The sequence below is a fragment of the Homo sapiens genome, chromosome 19 (assembly GCF_000001405.40).
Source record: "Homo sapiens chromosome 19, GRCh38.p14 Primary Assembly".
NCBI lineage: Eukaryota > Metazoa > Chordata > Mammalia > Primates > Hominidae > Homo > Homo sapiens.
The window spans coordinates 32,815,849-32,837,564 of record NC_000019.10 but is presented as its reverse complement, the minus strand read 5'-3'; the positions used below and the strand labels follow the sequence as shown (position 1 = coordinate 32,837,564).

Genomic DNA, 21,716 nt, shown 5'->3' with positions numbered 1-21,716 from the left:
ATTTATATGCACATTTACTGTTTTTTGGTTGGGAATTTGAGGTTTCTTTTTTTTTTTTTTTTTTTTTTTTTTGAGATGGAATCTCCTCTGTCACCCAGGCTGGAGTGCAGTGGTGTGATTACAACTCACTGCAACCGTGCCTCCCAGGCTCAAGCGATCCTCCCACCTCAGCCTCCCAAATAGCTGGGACCACAGGTGCACGCCACCACACCTGGCTAATTTTTGTATTTTTTGTAGACATGGGGTTTCGCCATGTGGGCCAGACTGGTCTTGAACTCCTGGCTCAAGTTATCTTCCTGCCTTGGCCTCCCAAAGTACTGGGATTACAGGTGTGAGCCACAGCACCTGGCAGGAAATTTGAGGTTTCCTATGGTGAATTTAAAAGAAGGGACACAGGCCTGGGGGGTTCTTCCATAGAACATCACTCTTCGAGGACGCAAGACTGACAGTGAGTAGAGGATGCTTGTATACAGAAAGATAAAACAACACGAGAGAATGGAGACCAGACTTATCATTATATGAATAAACGGGCTTACTCCATTTAAATTGGACTTACATCAGCCATTGAAAGTAAAAGATTTTTCAGGCGGATCTTCAAAGCTGTGAAAAATTAAAAGAACAGGCAGAGAAATATCAAGCAAATGAATATACAGAAAAACAGGGGCTGTGATCTTATCAGACAAGTGCTCAGGCCCAAAGCATTATTTAAGACAAAGACAGGCCATGCTAAAGGCTAAAATCCACAATGAAGAGGTAAGTTTTGAAAACCTATTCACCAAACCATATAGCAACCATCTTTACGAAGCAGAAACTGCAGGAAATCCACGGAGGGAGAAACACGTTAATAACAGGTGACTGGAAAACACCTCCTTCAGGCCAAGACAGATCTGGACGCAGCACTGGTAAAAGTGACTGGGGATCTAAAATATAGCAAGATAGATCTTAGAGGTTTGTATCAAGCCCCGAACCCCAGCAACAGCGAGTATACCTTTTTCAGTTGCAAATGGGACCTGTCTGAAAACTGACAGCTTTTAATGCCATGAAGAAAACCTTGATATTTCAAAAAGAAAACCCCAGAAATCAAAACAACCAAAAAGCAAATAACATTCTCTCTCTTTAATGAAACAAAACAGGAAATTGATAAAAGAAAAAAGTTAAACTTTTGGGTCCAAGAGGAAATATTAATAGAAATAGAAGATAAAAGTACATAAATTCTGGCCGGGCGCAGTGGCTCACGCCTGTAATCCCAGCATTTTGGGAGGCCAAGGCGGTTGCATCACTTGAGGTCAGGAGTTCAAGACCAGCCTGGCAAACATGGTGAAACCCCATCTCTACTAAAAATACAAAAATTAGGCCGGGTGTGGTGGCTCACACCTGTAATCCCAGCATGTTGGGAGGCTGAGGCCGGCGGATCACAAGGTCAGGAGATCGAGACCATCCTAGCCAACATGGTGAAACCCTGTCTCTACTAAAAATACAAAAAATTAGCCGGGCGTGGTGGCGGGCACCTGTAGTTCCAGCTACTCGGGAGGCTGAGGCTGAGAATCACTTGAACCTGGGAGGCAGAGGTTGCAGTGAGCCGAGATTGTGCCACTGCACTCCAGCCTGGGTGACAAAGTGAGACTCGGACACACACACACACACACACACACATACACACACACACACACACACAGTACATAAATTCCTAGAAATAGCAGTAATGATGACAGGACATATAATCTATGAACACAGCTTAAATAGTGCTTTGAGGAAGCTCCATTACATTAAATATATCAATAAAAATGAAAACAAATTAAATAGACAACTCCAAAAGCAAGATAAAGAACAACAGAAAACCAAAAGAAAACAGAAGGAACTAATAAGCAGAAAAAAACTTAAGGTGTTAGAAAAAACAGAAATGAATGAATGAGTGAATAATAATCAGTCTTTTTGAAAGTTTTCCTCCTTTTTCAATGCTCTGGAATAAATTAAGCAATACTGGAATTGTCTGATTTTTAGAATTTCCCTGTGATTCTAATGCAACTAAGATCAGTTTTAGTAAATTACATTTTCCTAGAAAATTGTTCATTTCTTCCATGTATTCAAATTTATCTGTATAGAGTTGTACAAAATAGTCTTATGATTTGTATTAATCTTTAGAACATAACTTATGTTGTAAAGATTAATTGCCCATTTTTATTTTTTATTTGTGTTTGTGCTTTCTCCTTTTTAAGGTTAGCTATTGATTTTATTGATTTTTCAAATTATTTTTAGACTGTAACATTGACACCAAACCTTACAAAGGTAACTTCACACAAAAAAGGGAAATGTACTCACCAATCTCACTTAGGAATAACGATATAAAAAATCTAAAATAAAATGTTAACAAACAGAACCCAGTTACACTAAAAAGATAATATATCATGACTAGGTCCAGCCTATGCAAAGGTAGCTGAAGACCGAAAATCCATTAATTAAAAGTTTAATTCAGGGGCTGGGTGTGATTGGCTCATGCCTGTAATCCCAGCGCTCTGGGAGGCCAAGATGGGCAGATCATTTGAGGTCAGGAGTTCGAGACCAGCCTGGCCAACGTGGTGAAACCCTGTCTCTACTAAAAATAAAAAATTAGCTGGGCATGTTGGCACACGCCTGTAATCCCAGCTACTTGGGAGGCTGAGGCAGGAGAACTGTTTGAACCCAAGAGGCAGAGGTTGCAGTGAGCCAAGATCACGCCACTGCACTCCAGCCTGAGCGACAGAGCGAGACTCTGTCTTGGGAAACAAAACAAACAAAAAAACACAGTCAAAGGAAAAATGCAATGACACTTAAAAATGAAAACAAAACAATCCCAGCAAACTTAACTTTGTTCCTAATAAGAGAATACCAAAATTAATCTCTGTCCTTGAAAAAGGATAATGAGTACTCCAATCACCCAGGTTATGGTCTTTATTTATTTTTAGAGTCTCACTCTGTCTCCTGGGCTGGAGTGCAGTGGCACATTCTTTGCTCACTGCAGCCTCCGCCTCCCGGGTTCAAGCGACTCTCCTGCTTCAGCTTCCCAAGTTGCTGGGATTACAGGCATCTGCCATCACGCCCGGCTAATTTTTGTATTTTTAGTAGAGACGGGGTTTCACCATGTTGGCCAGGCTGATCTTGAACTCCTAGACTCAAGTGATCTGCCTGCCTCAGCCTCCCAAAGTGCTGGGATTACAGGAGCGAACCACTGCAGCCAGCCTCCAGGTTATGGTCTTTAAATGCCATTTCCTGCTAAAAGGAAACAAAGCTCTCTGGAGAAATGGATGAAAACCCACGTCTGGCTCTGGAGAGATAAATGAAAACCCAGGTATGGCACTTCTTGTCACCCAGAAAACAAAGAGGCTTTTGAAGAGCACTGGCGTCCCATTCCCAGGGCCCAGGACAGTGTGAGGGGTTCCTGCCGCCCCGCACAGGACCTTCTGAACAACGTGAACAATGACTACAACGGGTTGAAACTCACCATGTATAGAAAAACCCACAGGCTGGAGTTGCCTTTGGAGGTCTCAGGGGCCCAACTTGTCATTCTGGAAACACACAGAATACAGCACTAATCCTGCCTTTCCTGTATGAACTGCAATTCAGAATAACCAGAAAGTTGAAGTACTTCATATAGCATTTCAGATAATTGAGGAAGAAATTACAAATTAGAAAAATCACCATTTTGCAAACCCTGATGAAACAATGAAGGCAACGATCATCAGTGGATGCTAAAACATTAAACAGTTTATCTATTTTTTTTTTTCTTTTTTGAGATGGAGTTTCCCTCCCGTGGCCCAGGCTAGAGTGCAATGGTGCAATCTCGGCTCACTGCAACCTCTGCCTCCTGGGTTCAAGCGACTCTCCTGCCTCAGCTCCTGAGGAGCTGGGATTACAGGCACCTGCCACCACGCCCAGCTAACTTTTGTGTTTTTGGTAGAGATGGTGTTTCACTATGTTGGCCAGGCTGGTCTTGAGCTCCTGACCTCAAGGGACCCACCGGCCTCGGCCTCCCTAAGTGCTGGGATTACAGGTGTGAGCACCCATGCCCGGCCAAAAAACTTTTTAAAAAGTAAAGAAAATTTTTAAAAGGTATAGATGAAATAAGATTGGCAAAATTACATTAAAATGATTGAAATTGGAGGAGGGGGTACATGGAGTTCATACTCTTTTTATAAAAATCGGTTTTTTATCATGAAAAATTTCAAAAAGAAAATGGGTACCCATGACCTGTTTTTCGTCTCCAGGTGCCCGTAGTCATTCCCGTCTTGATGACACTCATCTCTGTGTTTTTGGTTCTGGCTCCAATCATCAGCAAGCCCACCTGGGAGTACCTCTACTGTGTGCTGTTTATATTAAGCGGCCTTTTATTTTACTTCCTGTTTGTCCACTACAAGTTTGGATGGGCTCAGAAAATCTCAAGTAAGTACCAACAGAAGGGCCGCTTGGCCTCTGTGAGGTGCAGGCAGGCACGGCGTCCTCACCTGTCCTGACTCCAAGACCTCTGTCACAGTGTCTCACCCTGCTGGCAGATCTCCCTCGTCCCAGGAGGACACATGCCCACGCCCTCACTGTACACCTCTGGGTCCACCCTTGATTGTTTTGTTCCTGTCAATTACTGTAATAAGTAGGAAGGGAAAGCACCATTTTCTTTTCTTTTTGGAGACACAGTCTTGCTCTGTTGCCCAGGCTAAAGTGCAGTGGCATGGTCATAGCTCACTGCAGTCTTGAACTCCCGGGCTCAAGCCATCCTCCCACCTGGGCCTCCCAAGTAGCTGGGACCACAGGCACACACTACACCTGGCTATTTTTTTTACTTTTTGTAGAGAAGGAGTCTCGCTAGGTGGCCCAGACTGGTCTTGAACTCCTGGGCTCAAATGACCCTTCCACCTTGGCTCTCCAAAGTGCTGGGACTACTGGCCTAAGCCACCGTACCTGGCCGTTTTTCTTTTTCTTTCTTTCTTTCTTTTTTTTTTTTTTTTTGAGACACAGTCTCACTCTGTTGCCCAGGCTGGAGTGCAGTGGTGCGGTCTCAGCTCACTGTGCAACCTCCACCTCCCGGTTCAAGCGATTCTTGTGCCTCAGCCTTCCGAGTAGCTGGGATTACAGGTGTGCACCACCACGCCCAGCTAATTTTTGTATTTTTAGTACAGATGAGGTTTTACCATGTTGGCCAGGCTGGTCTCCAACTCCTGACCTTAGGTGATCCACCCACCTCGGCCTCCCAAAGTGCTGGGATTACAGATGTCAGCCACTGCGCCCGGCCCATTTTCTTTGTTTTGAGATGGAGTTTTGCTCTTGTTGTCCAGGCTGGAATGCACTGGCACGATCTCGGCTCACTGCAACCTCTGCCTCCCACGTTCAAGCGATTTTCCTGCCTCAGCCTCCTGAGTAGTTGGGATTACAGGCGCCTGCCACCACACCCGGCTAATTTCCTTGTTGTTGTTTTGTATTTTTAGTAGAGTCGGGGTTTCATCATGTTGGCCAGGCTGGTCTTGAACTCCTGACCTCAGGTGATCCACCTGCATCAGTCTCCCGAAATGTAGGGATTACAGGCATGAGCCACTGCGCCCAGCCCCATTTTCTTTTTAATTGCGAAAGACACACAACATAAACGTTTCTATCTCAGCCACTTGTCAGTGTAAAGTTCAGTAGCATTAGGCATATTCCCACCATCATGCGTCTCATCCTGAAACACCATTCTCCTTTGTCTGATATGCAGACATCATCTAAGAGGCCTAGCAGCATTGCAAAGACACACAAAAAGTCATGGCCTTGGCCTGGGGAACTGGGCTGGGGCCCAAGCCTTTTAATGCCAAGGGCACAGGGCTCACTCTTTCAGCAGTCCTGACCCTCATCAGTTTTAGGACAGTTGTTTAAAAGTTTAGCTATGTTAGTAGCCACTTTTGCTTCTGAAAAGAAAGCACTTGTGTCAAAGTACATCAAAAGAGACGGAATTACACCTTTAAAAAAGTCTATATCGGGCCGGGCACGGTGGCTCATGTCTGTAATCCCAGCACTTTGGGAGGCTGAGGGGGCAGATCACGAGGTCAGGAGATCGAGACCATCGTGGCTAACACGGTGAAACCCCGTCTCCACTAAAAATACAAAAAAAAATTAGCCGGGCGTGGTGGCGGGCGCCTGTAGTCCCAGCTACTCAGGAGGCTGAGGCAGAAGAATGGCGTGAACTCGGGAGGCGGAGCTTGCGGTAAGCCAAGATCCCCCCACTGCACTCCAGCCTGGGCAACAGAGCGAGAGTCCATCTCAAAAAACACAAAAACAAAAAGTCTATATTACATTCACAATGTTTTATCCTTTACAACAGATTCAACTGCAGGAAACCCTATTTCTTTCTTTCTTTTTTTTTTTTTTGTATTTTTAGTAGAGACGGGGTTTCACTGTGTTAGCCAGGATATTCTCGATCTCCTGACCTCGTGATCCGCCTGCCTAGGAAACCCCATTTCTAAAAGCCTTTAAGACTTCCTGGGCATCCTCTTCCAGGAGCTCCTTGAGGACAGGACTTGGGCTGTGTGCAATTTAACTCTGGCTGCGGCAGCCTGTAACAGCCAGTTAAGATTTATTAAGTGAATGTGATTAAAAGCCTGCCTGTTTCTCCTGTTCAGCTCATCTGAACTGGAAAGTGCAGTCGTCCCTCCGGACACTCCTAGGAGGTTTTTATTTCTATTCCTGCAATTCTGGGAGAAGACAGAAGCCAGGAAAGTGTGAAATCCAACCAGAAGGCAGGAAAGCTGGCCATCCTGAGCACAGGGTCTAGGTGACGCATCACCAAAGACTGAAAACAATGTCACCCTCACCCACAACAACTCCAGTGAAACTTTCGAATTTCAGTCTAACTAACTGTACTCATTTTTGACTCTTATTTCAGAGCCGATTACCATGCACCTTCAGATGCTAATGGAAGTGGTCCCACCGGAGGAAGACCCTGAGTAACAAGCTCCGTCTCTTGTAGCCAAGTCAGCTGAATTTATTTTCTTAAGCAATATTTGTGGTTATTTCTTCCTTTTTTTCTTACGAATAAAATATACTCAGATGTTTAAAATATTGTTATTTTTAGATATTCTTAGTTCTCTGAGTGGGGGTTCTAGAAAGGGGAAGTGGCAAGTGTTTGTTTGCTAAAGTTGTTGTCAGGTGAGATGTCACCTAACAAACAAGAGGCAGATGCTTAGGGAAGGGCTGAATAAAAGCCTCCATTACAGTGGCAGCTATTTAACAAGGGGCACATCACACTTAAATGAAAGGTGTTCTTTAAACTCAATGTCAATAAGGTCTCTTATATAAAATGGATGACATTTTTGCTTTGATTGATTGATTGATTGCTATAGATTTTAAAACAACAGTAAATTACTGGCCAGGTGTGGTGGCTCACGCCTATAATCTCAGCACTTTGGGAGGCCAAGGCGGATAGATCGCTTGAGTCCAGGAGTTCAAGACCAGCCTGGGCAACATGGCAAAATCATGTATCTAATCTATAAAAAACATAAAAAAATTAGCCAGGCATCGTGTTGCACACCTGTAGCCCCAGCTACTCAAGAGGCTGAGGTGGGAGGATCACCTGAGCCTGGAGTCCAGGGTGTAGTGAGCCATCATCATGCCACTGCACTCCAGCCTGGATGACAGAGACCCCAACTCAAAAAGTAAATAAATATACAAAAATATTAAAGTACAAATGTTTCTCACCCACTCTCCCCTACCCTAAAAGTAAAGTACTGGCGCCCTGTGCTGAACCTGTGATGTGCGTGCCATGTATCTATCTATCTGCCAGGATGAATGGCAAGAGCTGAGCCTCCATCCAGAACCCTCCACAGCCGGTGTGCTCATCACGAGGGTCGCCTGCATTGCCAGTCAGCATCGCTGGCTCCCTAGCAGCCTTCACGGGCGTTTTAGTCAAACCAGAAAGTGTGGTGAGTAAAGTTTTATTCTGTGTTTGGCATTCAGGGAAAGTACTGTTTAAAAAATGTAAAAAGCAACATTTCTGTGAAAACAGTGAAATTTTATTGATGATACACTGCGGAAGACATCCATACCACAACTAAGCATGAGCGATTTTAGAAGCATAGAGACAAAGGCACTTTCACCTTGCATTTTAGATATTTGACCAAAACTTGAAATCAGACATATTCATAGCAGTACAGAAAACCAATGACTAATTGTTCACATAATCAGCATCCTATATCCTACAAAATGTTAGCTTCAGATATTAGAACATTTGAATGTCTGAAAAAAGAAACAGATCTAAGCATGCAGTTGTCCTCCCTGCATTTTCACGAGTGCACAGGAAACACATTGTCACTAGCTATTATCATTTGCTGTGCTGTATGAAAGAGACTCGGCGCACCTGGGTGTAAACAGCAGGCAGCTGGTGCGCACGGGGCGCCACTGGACGGCGGCCTGGTCTCTGCCCCCAGAGCTCCACCAACAGGGCAGCAGCCACATGCAGAGAAACAGACACTGATATGGGTGTTAGAAGAGCTCCACAGTCAAAACCTTCACCAGCAAAAACACCAGAACTTTCTACTTCCCAAGAGCCTGCCCAATTTAGCTACAAAAAAGGAAAATCACCATCTTCCTTCATGGGCTGATTTGATACCTGCCAGTCACCCTGCGAAGGCCATAGCAGTGACCTGGGCACACTCCCGGCAGCTGTCCTGGCTGCACAGCGTGTCCTCCCAGGGGAGGCCAGGGCTCTGAGCCCCCATCAGAGCCACTGGGCAGAAAAACTGCCCAACCCAGCAGCACTCGGCGGGCGCTCCCTGAGACAAGGCCAGGCCACACAATGAGGGGATGTCTCATTTTACAGATGAGAAAACTGAGCCAGAGTGTGATCCAGACCTGCTCACAGGACAGCTTGATGACAAAGTTCACCTCTAGTTCAAGCGGTGGCTTCTGCTGGGACATACATAAGCCTGGGCATTGGCGCTTTCTGATACAAAAAAATAATAAAGATCTTGGGGCCGTCACACAACACTCATGTTCTATCCAAATTCTTTTCCATTCCGAGGCAAAGCTGATAAACAAGACACAGAGTGCACAGGACTTTTAATTTCCCAATAGCTCACCTTTCTCGCTTTTTCAGTCAACAAAGAAACCCAAAGCACAAAAGCCAGCCTCTGGGTGTGGCCATGACTACATACACTCCTCCCCTAAACCTGGTGACCCCCCCCAGTGCTGCAGCCACAATGCAGATGGGGTGGCGAATGTCTGCAGGGCTCACGACATGTAGGCATTCAAAGATCACCTCCAGGCACCCCACAGGCCCTTGTGAATTTCCACTAAAAAGCAACCTTTGTGCCATTTGCTCAGGACTCTGCAGGTCCAAGGGATTGTTTAGAACCAGCAGCTTCACCCCGGAAAGGCCTGGGTCTTACTGAGCAATCCAATTTCTATCCCTGGACTATCTCTTCATCAGAAGTCAACTTACTCTGAGGAGCTATCACTATCCAAGAATGCTAACACTATCAATTCACATAGATGGTTATGTTAAATCCCACTATCTCATGGTTGAAAGGGCTGGTTCAACAGTTGCTGAGTCTAAGTGTGTACATTAGAAACCTCAATTTATATGTGTAAGATCAGGTTTGTAGCAATGTAGCAAAGGTCTAGGTGAAAAAAAATGAATGGACTGACTCCAGACAGTGCATTTCATCACCCAGATGCATGTCTGCTCTGCCAGGGTGAGTGGCGAGAGGCGCCAGACAGGACAGACAAGCCGGCGGAATCAGACCACACCTGCTGTTTCTCTGTGTCCACCCTCCTTTGATGGTCTTATCATCAGCCTATTTTTAAGTCAATGAAGAATTTCTCACCGTTATCAAGTCCAGCACCACAAGGTGACAGTAATCATTTATCCTTGAGGTAAAGAAAGATTTGGTTGGCCGGGTGTGGTGGCTCACACCTGTAATCCCAGCACTTTGGGAGGCTGAGGTGGGAGGATTACCTGAGGTCAGGAGTTCGAGACCAGCCTGTCCAACATGGTGAAACCCTGTCTCTACTAAAAATACAAAAATTGGTCAGGCATGGTGGCACATGCCTGTAATCCCAGCTACTCGGGAGGCTGAGGCAGGAGAATTGCTTGAGCCTGTGAGGCAGAGGTTGCAGTGAGCCAAGATCATGCCACTGCACTCCAGCCTGGCCGACAGAGCAAGACTCTGTCTCAAAAAAAAAAAAAAAAAAAAAAAAAGAAAAGAAAAGAAAAAGATTTGGTTATGACTGACTGTTTTCTTAACTGTCGGTCACATGGCAATATCCATTTTTGTTCAACATCTTCCAGCCGCTCTTGAGGACGTCATTCACCTTCTCTTTCACTCTCACTGTCGTCATCCTCTGAAGTGCTGCTACTGTCTTCAACCACCTCTGTCACTGTGTACGGCAGGTTTTTAGAATTCACTACTAAAGGAGTAAGATATTATAACAAATAAGTGTAGACTAATCAGCAAATCTTTATTTCCCCCCATTATTTGGGTCAATGCAGAAAAAAATGCCTTGGGTTCCAGCTCTATGTATCTTATATTTTCATTATTTTAGGTAAGAAATGAGCAGGTCAAATTGGTCTGCTTACAAATAATTTATTCTTCTAGGAAGAATATCTGTAGTGTGTTATTAAAAGGTGTGTTTATCACCAAGGGTTGAAAAGTACTCAAACCAGAACGTTTAGCACCAAGATAAACAAAGAGAAAACTGATTTCTCAGGGCTTGACATGAACGGTCCACTTCCACCAAGGCTGAATTCCTAAGTGGGTGATGGTGTCCCTCACTGCCCTCAGAACCTACAACCCCTCGGAGAGTGGGCGCTCTATGCCTTACCCTTGGGGAAGTGGCTGTCCTCTTCACAGTCTTCCCAGTGATCAAAATCAAAAGCCACGTTGGGGTTCTGTTCAAGAGAACAGCTGACAGTGAGCGCGTGAATATGACACACGCAGGGTAAAGACCACCCGCTGAGTGCATCCCAACTCACCCTCTGTCTGAGTAGGTGACACCATGCCTCCCTTCTCTCTTTGGCCAGAGTGATTACAGGTTCATCGTTTCTAATCACACATTGGCAGTCATCTTTCCTTATGTTGCCCCGCAGCTCCAGATCAGCCAGGTAAAATTTGTCTCCCACCCAAGCACTGGGTTTATAAAAAGAAATAAAGTCAGCCTTTTAAAATGCTAAAAATTATTTCTATTTTACTTTATATGACTATACATAAACCTACCTGAAAACGACTCTATCCCTTAAATACTGACACTTGTAGTCCTTTACATTCCTTATTCTTATCTTTAAGATGACGACATCTTCTTTTTGGAACCATTTTATTTGTGGGTGGAAGCTAGAAGAAGAAAGACCTGCGCATTCATTGATCTTATTAACTGGGTAAGGGACGCCGACTCCTCCATGCCGAGTGGACGTACCTTTTCAGAGGCGGCTGTGCAGTTCTGCTAATGAAGGCACCTTCAGTGTTTCCAGATAAAGTTTCTGCACAAAATCAAGGTCATATTTTCCTACAGGTTATTTATATGTAACTCCATCATGTACACACATATATATATACTTTTTTGTACCTTATGCAACGTCTAGATGAGGAATCACATAAAAGTGTAAATTGAGTAACCCTAGTATCTAGCTGCAAAGAACAGTTAGAAAAAATTAAAACCATCACATAGGTAAACAAAATTTTAAAATTTTTATTTTTGAGATGGAGTTTCGTTCTTGTTGCCCAGGCTGGAGTGCAATGGTATGATCTTGACTCACTGCAACCTCTGCCTTCGAGTTCAAGCGATTCTCCTGCCTCAGCCTACCAAGTAGCTGGGATTACAAGCATGCGCCACCACACTCGGCTAATATTGTATTTTTAGTAGGAATGGAGTTTCACCATGTTGGTCAGGCTGGTCTCGGACTCCTGACCTCAGGTGATCTACCTGCCTCGGCCTCCCAAAGTGGTGGGATTACAGGCTTAAGCCACTGTGCCTGGCCTAAAATTTTATTTTAAAATAAAAACAGCCTTTGACAAGTATTAAAATTCAATGACCAGGAAGTGAAGTCACTCATTTGAAAAAGAACCTCATTGCAGTGGCTGGCCTTGGATACAAACATGCAGGCTTCTCTGGAGCTGTTTGACCTGCCAGGATGCCCTAAGGACAGCGGCCAGCACGCACGAGGAGCCAGTGCTGGACATGACATATTCTCAAACAACGCAATGTGAACTTCTCAATCTCCAACAGGCAAGGCTTCCATCCAAACACCGGAGTAAGAATGTTCACAGCTGCTGGAATCACAGTAGCCTGAGACGGAAAACAGATCCACCCTCTGTGGTTTATTCATGGTATAGAAAACAATGGCAAAGAAACAAACAGACTCCTGCTGAGAAAGCGCCATCCTCGGTGTCACATGCCGCCTGCCATCGAGTGGCCTCAGGAAAAGAGTGCACTGACCCAGTGACGTCAAGAACCTTGGAGAGCACAATCCCCAAGCCCTTCTGAGAGGAGGCGAGCAGAGGAAACCCGGGGTGGCCTGGCCTGATCACAGAGCTGGGACTGATCCTAAAGACAGAGCCGTGAAGCTAGGGTGCGAAGGAGGCAGTCCTGCCACTGAACGCGAACAAGAACAAGACACCGCTTCTGGGAGCAAGCGGCCAGGTTCCTCCTCGGAGCCGTCAACCAAAAAGGGACTGAGGGAGTCTCAGCCGACTCGAGGTTGATTTATCCAAAGTTGAGGATGTGCCCCGGGAAACACAAATCACAGGAGCGCCATGGCCTCTGCTTTTCCAAAGGGGCTTCCTAAACATCTGTGTCTAAAAGGGAGAGCAAGCTGGAGGAAGAAAGGGCGGCGGGGGGTGGGGCAGGACAAAGACAATCACGCATCCCCTCGAGCTCAGGAAAGCTAGCTTTACACAAGATAAAGTGACATGTGACAGGAGACATAACAGGACACGGGGCTACGACCCAGGGCTATGAAGCGACAGCTGTCTGCTTGCGAACAAAAGCAGACAGGCTTAGACCCAGGTCCAGCGTGTAACTTCCCCTTTGGCAGAGGGAGTTTAGGGTCCCGAGATCGTGTTTGCTTGCACAGAGCACAGCTACAGCTAGGAGGGCAAGAGCAGGCAGCAGCCCCCGAGCCGGGCCACATGCAACACAAACAACCCCACACCTGCGTCCTCCAGAAGCCCTGCCTGGCACAGTGGCATGCGGGTGTCACGTCTGCAGAGGAGGGCACGGGGTCCACCTGAGACCGACCAGCTGCAGCAGGGCTGGCAGATCCTGCGGAGGAATGCTGCCCTAACTGTGATGAGCCTCTGAAGCTCAGGCCTTGCCCCTCACCAGCGTGTGGCAGCACAATGGATGCATCATACTTTTCTAGCCACATGGAGACACTGACTGTCCAAATACCAGAAACCCTGCGGGAAGCCAAGGCAAGAAGAACCATGAAGAAAGTGCATGACGTTTTCCTTCACCTGCCTGAACCTGAGCAGGAGCCCAGAGATGAAGTCTCTTCCAGCTGAGACAACGGCTCTTCCAGGAAGGTGGCCAAGTGCCTGGTGGCTGCAGTGGACATCTAATAGCCAGAGCTTCCCAGTAGAGCTCAGTAAACAACTGCATGTCCTCCAAGGGCTATGGTTTGGGGGACCCACCTGGCTGCCCTGACGTCCCCCGAGGGCCCCACACCAGGCTCTATGCAAAGTGCAAATGGGCCGGTAGCAGGGCCTGCGACAGTGCAGACCCTCTTCAGCCCCACTCTGCAGTCTACTGGATCCCGGTCTGCTACCGTGGAATAAACACTGCTCTGGGAAAATCCTCTTAATGACAACTGTTGTCCCAATGACCCTGTTCCTCTGACCAGCTGGCCTTGCAAACTGTCTTTTCCAGAACTCTTCAGAACCCTTTTCCAGTGGTTCCCACACAGCGAAACCAGCTGCCCCCCGCTGTGGCCAAATCCAGGGGCAAACTTTATGAAGAGAACGTGTATGTGCATTTTAACAGCTACATTCAGTCCCCCACGTACCACTCGGCTCCGGAAGATCCTTTCTCCTCACCTGCACCTCTCACCTCACCAGCCACAGTCACGGCCAGCAAGAGCAGCACATGGGACTGTGATGAAGAACCTGGGTTTGGACCACGGCAATAATGAAATGCGTCTAAACCCATCCTTCCAGATGACCCCCATCCTTCACAACAATCCCCTCCCACCCCCCAAAAAAAAGCTGTGTGGGGAAATGGCTGGAAGAATTTCCTTAGGAAACAACTTCCAGAACATACCCAGAGATGCATGGGAATCACACAGGCAGTGGGCAAGGCTGCCTTCGTCACAGGAGCCACCTCTGCGGCTCCTCCTCCCACACTCTCCATCCTCAATGAGGAATGAACCTGTCAGGGAGCAAACCACCCTCTGGGGCTCTCAGCACCTCAGCTGTGTTATCTGTGGGTTTCACTGTCTCGGATGCATATCAAAGGGAGCAGAGCCATGCAGGGTCCACCCTCCCAGGATCTTATCCCGCCCTCCTGGGAAGCGGAATGAGGGACCACAGCAGAGGTGCAGAACATCTGCAGTGTGGAAAGCTGGAGCTCCCAGCACTGGAGTGTTGGAGACTTTGTCTAGTCATGGGATGAGTTTATCAATATATGTTGTCTGGGCAATTTCTAAGATTTGTCAAGACAAGGAGCAATGATCTAACTCCATTTCATAAAGACAGTGAATATCAAAATTAAAAGGCCACACGAAGATAAATTCCAGTGACGGCAAATGGTCTCCTCACCTCTCCTTTCCTTCTCCCTCACTGAATTCTCCTTCCACAAGGGGCTTGGGTTTTGTCCCATTTATCTTTTTTTTTTTGAGATGGAGTCTCGCTCTGTCACCCAGGCTGGAGTGCAGTGGCGCGATCTTGGCTCACTGCAAGCTCTGCCTCCAGGGTTCACACCCTTCTCCTGCCTCAGCCTCCCGAGTAGCTGGGACTACAGGTGCCCACCACCACGCCTGGCTAATTTTTTGTATTTTTAGTAGAGACGGGGTTTCACCGTGTTAGCCACGATGGTCTCGATCTCCTGACCTCACGATCTGCCCGTCCTGGCCTCCCAAAGTGCTGGGATTACAGGCGTGAGACACCGCACCCAGCCCCGTTTATCTATTATTTGTTTATTTATTTATTTTGAGACGGAGTCTCATTCTGTTGCCCAGGCAAGAGTGCAGTGGTACAATCTTGGCTCACTGCAACCTCCGCCTCCTGGATTCAAGAGATTCTATTGCCTCAGCCTCCCAAGTAGTAGGGACTACAGGCGTGCGCCACCACAGCTGGCTAATATTTTTGTGTTTTTAGTAGAGATGGGGTTCCAACATGTTGGCCAGGCTGGTCTCAAACTCCTGACCTCAAGTGATTTGCCTGCCTCAGCCCCCCAAAGTGTTGGGATCATAGGCATGAGCCACCGTGCCCAACCAGTTTTGTTTTTGTTTTTGTTTTTTGTTTTTTATAGTCTCAATCTGTCATCCAGGCTGGAGTGCAGTGGTGTGATCTTGGCTCACTGCAACCTCTGCCTCCCGGGTTCAATTGATCCTCCCACCTTAGCCTCTTGAGTAGCTGGAATTACAGGTGCCCCCCCACCATGCCCAGCTAATTATCTTTTTTCTTTATGGCACCTAACTCAGTGCCAAGTTCATACACGTCAGAAATGTCTGCTAAGTCCGTGCAATTAGCCTGGCCGAGGTCAGCCAACTCTATTAACGCCAGCTCCTCCTCTTTGCTGAGGCGCTGTGCAATAAAAGTGAGCCTAGATGTAAAGTCTGGAGAGAGCCATGCAATATGCAAATACTTTCCAAGATTAAGAAAAAATGCCTCCACTTGCAATCATACAGATTAATTTCACACACATAATGTTGACTGAAGGAAGCCACAAGAACATATACTATAGGCGGGGCACAGTGGCTCACGCCTATAATCCCAACACTCTTAGAGGCCAAGGCAGAAGGATCACTTGAGGCCAGGAGTTCAAAATCAGTCTGGGCCACACAGTGAGACTCCATCTCTGTTTAAAATAAAAGAATGTATTCTATATGCTTCCAAGTCAGCAAAACTCATGGTGTCAGAAATCAGAATGGTCAGTCAGGAGGGTTCCGGACAGGAGACTGCTGGGGTCCTGGAAATGTTCAACAGCTCGATGTGGGTGTGGTTCACACGCACACACACACACACACACACACACACACACACACACACACTCTGCTGAGCTGTTCACTTAACATCTGTGCGCATCACTGGATGGAAGTTAGACCTCAAACTACAAAAACAAAACACTGGGGGCTGACCTGTCAAAAATAAGAACAGTTAGGTGATATCAGTTTATGTCATCTTCTCTACATTTCATCTCAAAGTAGAAAGTCTAAACATTAGCAATTTTCCAGACATTAACGATTTGAACTTAACCATCTTTTGAATACCAAGTACCCACCAGGCTTCTGGTTTTCTGAGCTCGTCTTGGACTCAGCCCCTCCTTCTGCACCCGTGTCCTCAGGCTGGGGGCTCTGCAGGCAAGCAGCATCTTCTGCTGGAGGCGTCCTAGACGGGAGAGGCAGGGGTTAACACCTGGCTCTCTACAGGAACTGCCCAAGTGGAAGAGGAAGGCAGGCAATAAATGACCGTGAAGTGCCTGTGGCCGTGGAGTCAGACCCACGTAGAGCTTATGACATTTAAGATGCCCCAGGCAGCCCATCAACTCTGTTCCTTCCGACAAGGATGATGGGCAAGCACACAGTGCATGACTGACATGGGACCAGGCAGGCCTTCACTCTTCACCAAGATGGTTTGCCTTCCATACTCACTGCTGCCCACTTCAAACAGGACCAAAGGACAGAAAGTGACAAGCCAGTTTCCTGCTTCCCCTGACCCAGTCTCTGGGGCCATCTTCCCAAAGACCACCCCTGTTACCAGTTTGGGCCCACTTCTAGAAATATTCTTTGCATAAAAAAGAAATTATTGCCTTCTATGCCTTTCTATCTAAAACACATGGACACATACACACATTTAAACATATGGGAACGTACTAAATTCAACGTGCTGCCCCATATTTTATCCTACTTAATAACTAGCTAGAATACTTATTTTAAAATTTTTAAATGGTAGTATTCTTTTGGTTCTTTGAATAGGTAACCACATTCATGTGGTTCAGTATTTTAAAAGAAGTCAAATTTGGCTGTACACTGAAAAGCTCCTCTCACCCCTGCTCCCCAGCCAGCCAGCTCCCTTCCTCGTGGGTGACAATGTGACTCAGTTTTTGTACATCTTTGAAGAGACAATTCAAGCCTAAATGAGCAAACACACACACACGAGGAGGAGGGGTGTGCTGTCTTCTGACAGCCACACACACAAACCTGTGAGAAGGAGGGGTCCGTGCCTGTCTTCTGAGGGGCCCAGAAGAAGCCTGCAGTGTGGCACTTTCCAGATTCAGGCAGCGAGCGTCCTGAGCCACCGCCCCTCCCCAGGCTCTGTGCAGTCGCCCACCCTCTTCTCCTTCGATAGATCCTCCTCTGCTAGGTAGATTCCTTCCTCCTCACACTCACTGAGCTTTGACTCTCCTCAAACAGCAGCAAACCAAGAGCCTTCCCCAGCTGCTTTCCTGAGCCCTAGGCGTAGACTTTCAGTAACCTTAAAAACTGGCACCTCCACAGCCCACCTCAGCCTCTCCTCCTCTGCTGTGGGCTGTGCCTGGAAACCACCTGTCACTGTCCACCGCACCAGCATTCCCCAGGCACCAGGGCTCAGACCTGCAGACCCACGTTCCCTAACATCTGCCAACCGCCAAGTCCTGTGGCTTCCAGATCTGCGGGTCACAGCATGAAATATTCTCGCCATTCCCTCTCTACCTGTCAGGATCCCCTGTTCTCCAGGAGCTGTCTGATATGGGGTCTCTTCTAGCAGGCTCTCTGTGAAACCTCGCAGTGCTGTATGCTCTGTGTTCGTGACCACGGGTATGTTAAGCTCCCTTAACCACAAAGCTACAGTGGGAAAGGGGGCTGTGGGAGCCTTTACACAGGGCTGGGGCTCAAAGTCAGTGCTTCCCATAAGCCACCAAACCTCATTTTGGTTAAATCTACTAAAGTTTAATGACATCTTCATTTCTAAAAAAGTATCTTAAAAGTATGGGAAATTTTTTTTTTCTTGAAAGTAGAGGGAAACTACCCTGTATTCTAATCCTATAGGTATCCATTTTTATTAAGGTAAAAAACTAAAAAACTTTAGATCATACTATGTTTATCTTTGTCATTTTTTTTTTTTTTGAGACAAGGTCTTGCTGTCACCCAGGCTGGAGTGCAGTGGCACAATCACAGCTCACTGCAGCCTAAACCTCCTGGGCTCAACCAATCTTCCCACCTCAGTGTCCCAAGTAGCTAGAACTACAGGCTTGTACCACCAAACCCAGCTAATTTTTGTATTTTTAGTAGAGACAGGGTCTTGCTATGTTGCCCAGGCTGGTCTCGAACTCCTGAGCTTGAGCAATCCTCCTGCCTCGGCCTCCCAAAGTGCTGGGATTACAATCATGAGCCACCAAGCCTGGCCCACATTATTTTAAATCCTCCTTTCAGCTGAACTTAGGAATCTCTCAAGGTCACCAACAACCACTAACCCAGCAGGCCACTAAACCAGCAAGTCACTAGTCCAGCAGGCCACTAACCCAGCAAGTCACTAGCCCAGCAGCCCACTAGTCCAGCAGGCCACTAGCCCAGCTGTCTGTCTTGGTCCTCACTCGCTGGGTCTGCAGCTGCACCTGGGCTAGCTCATCACTCCTGTCCGGGACACGCATCCCTCGCCTACTCACCTCTCCAGGCTTCCCTCCACCTGCTGGCTACAACGTCCCCACCCTACTCCATGCTCCCCAGTGGAGGCACCAGGGCTCACCCCCGGACCCCTCCTCTCACACCTCTGGGGCTCCCAGGCCCTGCCACGAGGGCTGTGCTCTTGCCACAGATGCAGGCTGCCTGGAGCCCCGTCAGCTCTAGCAGAACACACTGATAAACCAGCAGCTTCTCAACCTCCACAAAGCCACCTGGTCCAAGCCTCCATCCTCCTGTCCTAAGCTCCTGGCACAGTCTTGTCCCCTAGCCCTCCCTTCAGTCTGTTCTCAACACAGTAGCCACGAACCATCTTCTGTTCAAGTCACTCCTCTGCTCAAAACCCCCTCATGGCTCCTGCCTCTGTGGAGCAAGAACCCATTCCTTGCAGTGGCCACAGGCCCCACAAGACCTGGCCCAGCACCTCCGGGTCTCTGTGTTCTGCTCCGCTCTGAGTACCTTCATCCCTGCTCCTGGAACTCACAGCCCAGTCCTTCCCTCGGCCCGTGGAGACTCCTCCCAGGTGTCCCCATGCACTGTCCCCCTCACACATGGCCCCCTGTCCCTGGCATTCTGGGAGGAAGCTCTGTGGTGTTCTTACTCACCCCTGCCCCCCCTGCTCCTCGGATGGATGATCCTGGTCTTGAGCAGGACTGGTCCCTGTCACCCTCGGCCTGGAGAAAGCAGAGCAGACTTCATTTGCAAATAATCATGTGCATCTGTGGAGCCTGTCTGGGGACAGTAGAGGACAGAGCTTGGAGTGCATGGGTAAAAACACTTTTTTTTTTTTTTTGAGACAGAGGCCTGCTTCTAAAGCTACCAGGCCCTACAGATCTAGGATGCCTGGGTGGGCTGGGCCAGAGGAGACGCAGAGAGCAAGAGACTGGGGAATTAGGATGTTCAAAAGCAGTCGTGTGTACGGGCCATTTAGAATTGCACAAGCGCACAGAGGCACGCCCGGAAGAGCCCTGAAGAGACCTGGAGTTTGCACCTCGGGCGGGGTCAAGGAGAGGACATGGAGAACTGCAGGCCTCGGGCATGGCTGCTGGAACAGGCAATGGGGAAGCTGCTGCGGAACCTGGATGGAGGTTCCCCAAAAATCATACACAGGATTCCCACAGGGCCCAGCAGCTCCACTTCTGAGTAGCAACCCCAGAGAAGTGAAGGCAGGGGCTCAAACAGGTATTTGTACACCTGTATACACAGGAGCACACTCACCACAGTCAAGAGGGGCAGCAGCCCAGGTGTGCGCAGGAAGATGAATGGAGAAGTGAAACGTGGTGATCCATGCCATGGAGGATGAGCTTCAAAGGGAAGGAAATCTGACCCGGGCTGCAACACGTGTGGACCTTGAGGACCTTACACTGAGACGAGCCAGGCACAAAAGGGTAAACAGTGGACGATTCCACTTAAAGTGCCCAGGATTGGCAGATTCGTAGAGACAAAGGAGAGTAGGGGGCTGGGCGGGGGGTGGACTCTGGAATTATTATTTAAGGAGTATGGAGTTTCTGTCCAGATGATGAGCAAGTTCTGGAGATGGATAGCGATGATGGTTGCACAACACTGAGAATGTCCTAAATGCCACTGAATTGTACACTTAAAAAGAGTTTAAATGGCAGCTGTTGTCATGTTTATTTTGCCACGATAAAACACATGCAATTGAAGGAATCACTGTGAGCCTTTTTAGCTGTGCTAACAGTGCTCTGGTCAAGTTTTGGGAAGCCCTGCCACTCTCATCCCTGCCCACACTTGGTGCGTGTTTTCCTTCCTTCTCTCATTCCCCTCTCTGGTGGGCTGGGCATGCTGTGGTGTTACTCCCTGGGCTTTCATCTGCATCTCCCTGATGACTCAGGAGTTCCAGCACCTTCTCATATGGTAATTAGGTATCCTGAAGTGGCTGCTCAGGTCTTTTGCCCACTTTCCTAACAGGTGCCTGCTGTTTTCCTCCTGGCTGGAAGGAGTTCTTGATACAGATCCTTCCCCCTCTGGAGCTGCCAGGATCCCTCCTCGGAGTGACTGTCACAGTCTCTCTAATGCCCCCCATGGGAGGAGACGCTGGCGCAGCCACTTTGGAACACTATTGGGTAGTAACTCTAACTATGACTCAGTAATCCCATTCCGTCAGAAATATATTTGTAAGTGTATATATTTGTAAAAGACATGTACGGTAATGTTTAAAGCGCCATTACCTGAAGTACCCCAAACTGGAAATTTCCCCAGTCAACAGTAGAATGGGTAAACAAATAATGGTATATTCATACAAAGGAACATTATGTAGCTGTGAGAATTTAGAGAATTTATGCCTCCTTTGAGCCTAGCTTCTGTAACTCACTATGGAGAGGAGGCATACTGTCTAATTCCTTTCAAACAAAGTGCAAAACTGGGGAAAACCATCCCTGCTTTTCGACATCAGGAGAATGGCTCCTCTTGGGGAGGGGGAGTACCTAGAGGGAGGGGAGGCTCTGAGCCAGGCTCTGTTTCTTGATCTGGGCTGGTTACACAGGTATGTTCAGGAAACACATCACGTCTGATGTGCGCACTTTTCTGTGTGTGCGTTATTTGTCAAGAAAAAGTTAACAACAATCCTTTCTGTAAGAAATACAGGTAAAATACTATATTTGAGATCTGCTTTATAATACTCCAACAAAAGCAAGTGTGGGCTGGGGTATAGATAAAACTAGATTTCCAAAATCTTGGTCATTATTACAACTGAGTGATGGGTACATGGAGACTCATTAAAAACCCTTCTACTTTTTTTTTTTTCTTTTTTGAGACGTAGTCTCACTCTGTCGCCAGGCTGGAGTGCAGTGGCATGATCTTGGCTCGCTGCAACCTCTGCCTCCCAGGTTCAAGCGATTCTCCTGCTTCAGCCTCCCGAGTAACAGGGATTACAGGCACGTGCTGCCACACCCAG

The 21,716-nt window shown here is 47.4% G+C and overlaps 2 protein-coding genes and 1 pseudogene across 16 annotated transcripts in view, besides 5 other annotated features; 2 read left to right on the top strand and 1 right to left on the bottom strand.

Annotated features, from left to right (window-relative positions):
• Window positions 1–7,054, top strand: part of SLC7A9 (solute carrier family 7 member 9) — a 39,257-nt gene extending 32,203 nt beyond the window's left edge. For all 6 annotated transcript variants that reach the window (NM_001126335.2, NM_014270.5, XM_011526402.4 and 3 more), the window contains 2 exons: window positions 4,242–4,416; window positions 6,881–7,054. In NM_001126335.2, the coding sequence (NP_001119807.1) occupies window positions 4,242–4,416; window positions 6,881–6,945 (240 nt within the window). In that variant the 3' untranslated portion in view covers window positions 6,946–7,054. The remainder of the gene's footprint in view (window positions 1–4,241; window positions 4,417–6,880) is intronic.
• The window catches only part of TDRD12 (tudor domain containing 12), a 109,814-nt gene continuing 96,082 nt past the window's right edge, over window positions 7,985–21,716 (bottom strand). For 4 of the 10 annotated variants that reach the window (NM_001437947.1, NM_001366102.1, XM_011527474.4 and 1 more), the window contains 7 exons: window positions 19,408–19,476; window positions 16,426–16,532; window positions 11,404–11,467; window positions 11,208–11,321; window positions 10,967–11,120; window positions 10,816–10,882; window positions 7,985–10,401 (listed from right to left, as the gene is read on the bottom strand). In NM_001437947.1, the coding sequence (NP_001424876.1) occupies window positions 10,298–10,401; window positions 10,816–10,882; window positions 10,967–11,120; window positions 11,208–11,321; window positions 11,404–11,467; window positions 16,426–16,532; window positions 19,408–19,476 (679 nt within the window). In that variant the 3' untranslated portion in view covers window positions 7,985–10,297. Of the gene's footprint in view, window positions 10,402–10,815; window positions 10,883–10,966; window positions 11,121–11,207; window positions 11,322–11,403; window positions 11,468–16,425; window positions 16,533–19,407; window positions 19,477–21,716 lie in introns of those variants that run through there. The other 6 variants (XM_011527473.4, NM_001438799.1, NM_001438801.1 and 3 more) reach the window with 4 other exon arrangements.
• Window positions 8,009–8,530: an enhancer, noted in NCBI's record as "H3K4me1 hESC enhancer chr19:33319941-33320462 (GRCh37/hg19 assembly coordinates)". NCBI's record gives its function as "activates a minimal SCP1, AML or CMV promoter by ChIP-STARR-seq in naive H9 embryonic stem cells {active_cell/tissue: H9 hESC(naive)}" and the evidence as "EXISTENCE:reporter gene assay evidence [ECO:0000049][PMID:30033119]".
• Window positions 13,060–14,129, top strand: GCM1P1 (GCM1 pseudogene 1; annotated as a pseudogene).
• Window positions 15,573–15,808: a silencer, noted in NCBI's record as "fragment chr19:33312663-33312898 (GRCh37/hg19 assembly coordinates)". NCBI's record gives its function as "represses an EF-1alpha promoter that drives an FKBP-Casp9 reporter gene in an ReSE screen in K562 erythroleukemia cells {active_cell/tissue: K562}" and the evidence as "EXISTENCE:reporter gene assay evidence [ECO:0000049][PMID:32094911]".
• Window positions 19,096–19,690: an enhancer, noted in NCBI's record as "H3K27ac-H3K4me1 hESC enhancer chr19:33308781-33309375 (GRCh37/hg19 assembly coordinates)". NCBI's record gives its function as "activates a minimal SCP1, AML or CMV promoter by ChIP-STARR-seq in naive H9 embryonic stem cells {active_cell/tissue: H9 hESC(naive)}" and the evidence as "EXISTENCE:reporter gene assay evidence [ECO:0000049][PMID:30033119]".
• Window positions 19,691–20,284: an enhancer, noted in NCBI's record as "H3K27ac-H3K4me1 hESC enhancer chr19:33308187-33308780 (GRCh37/hg19 assembly coordinates)". NCBI's record gives its function as "activates a minimal SCP1, AML or CMV promoter by ChIP-STARR-seq in naive H9 embryonic stem cells {active_cell/tissue: H9 hESC(naive)}" and the evidence as "EXISTENCE:reporter gene assay evidence [ECO:0000049][PMID:30033119]".
• Window positions 20,285–20,880: an enhancer, noted in NCBI's record as "NANOG-H3K27ac-H3K4me1 hESC enhancer chr19:33307591-33308186 (GRCh37/hg19 assembly coordinates)". NCBI's record gives its function as "activates a minimal SCP1, AML or CMV promoter by ChIP-STARR-seq in naive H9 embryonic stem cells {active_cell/tissue: H9 hESC(naive)}" and the evidence as "EXISTENCE:reporter gene assay evidence [ECO:0000049][PMID:30033119]".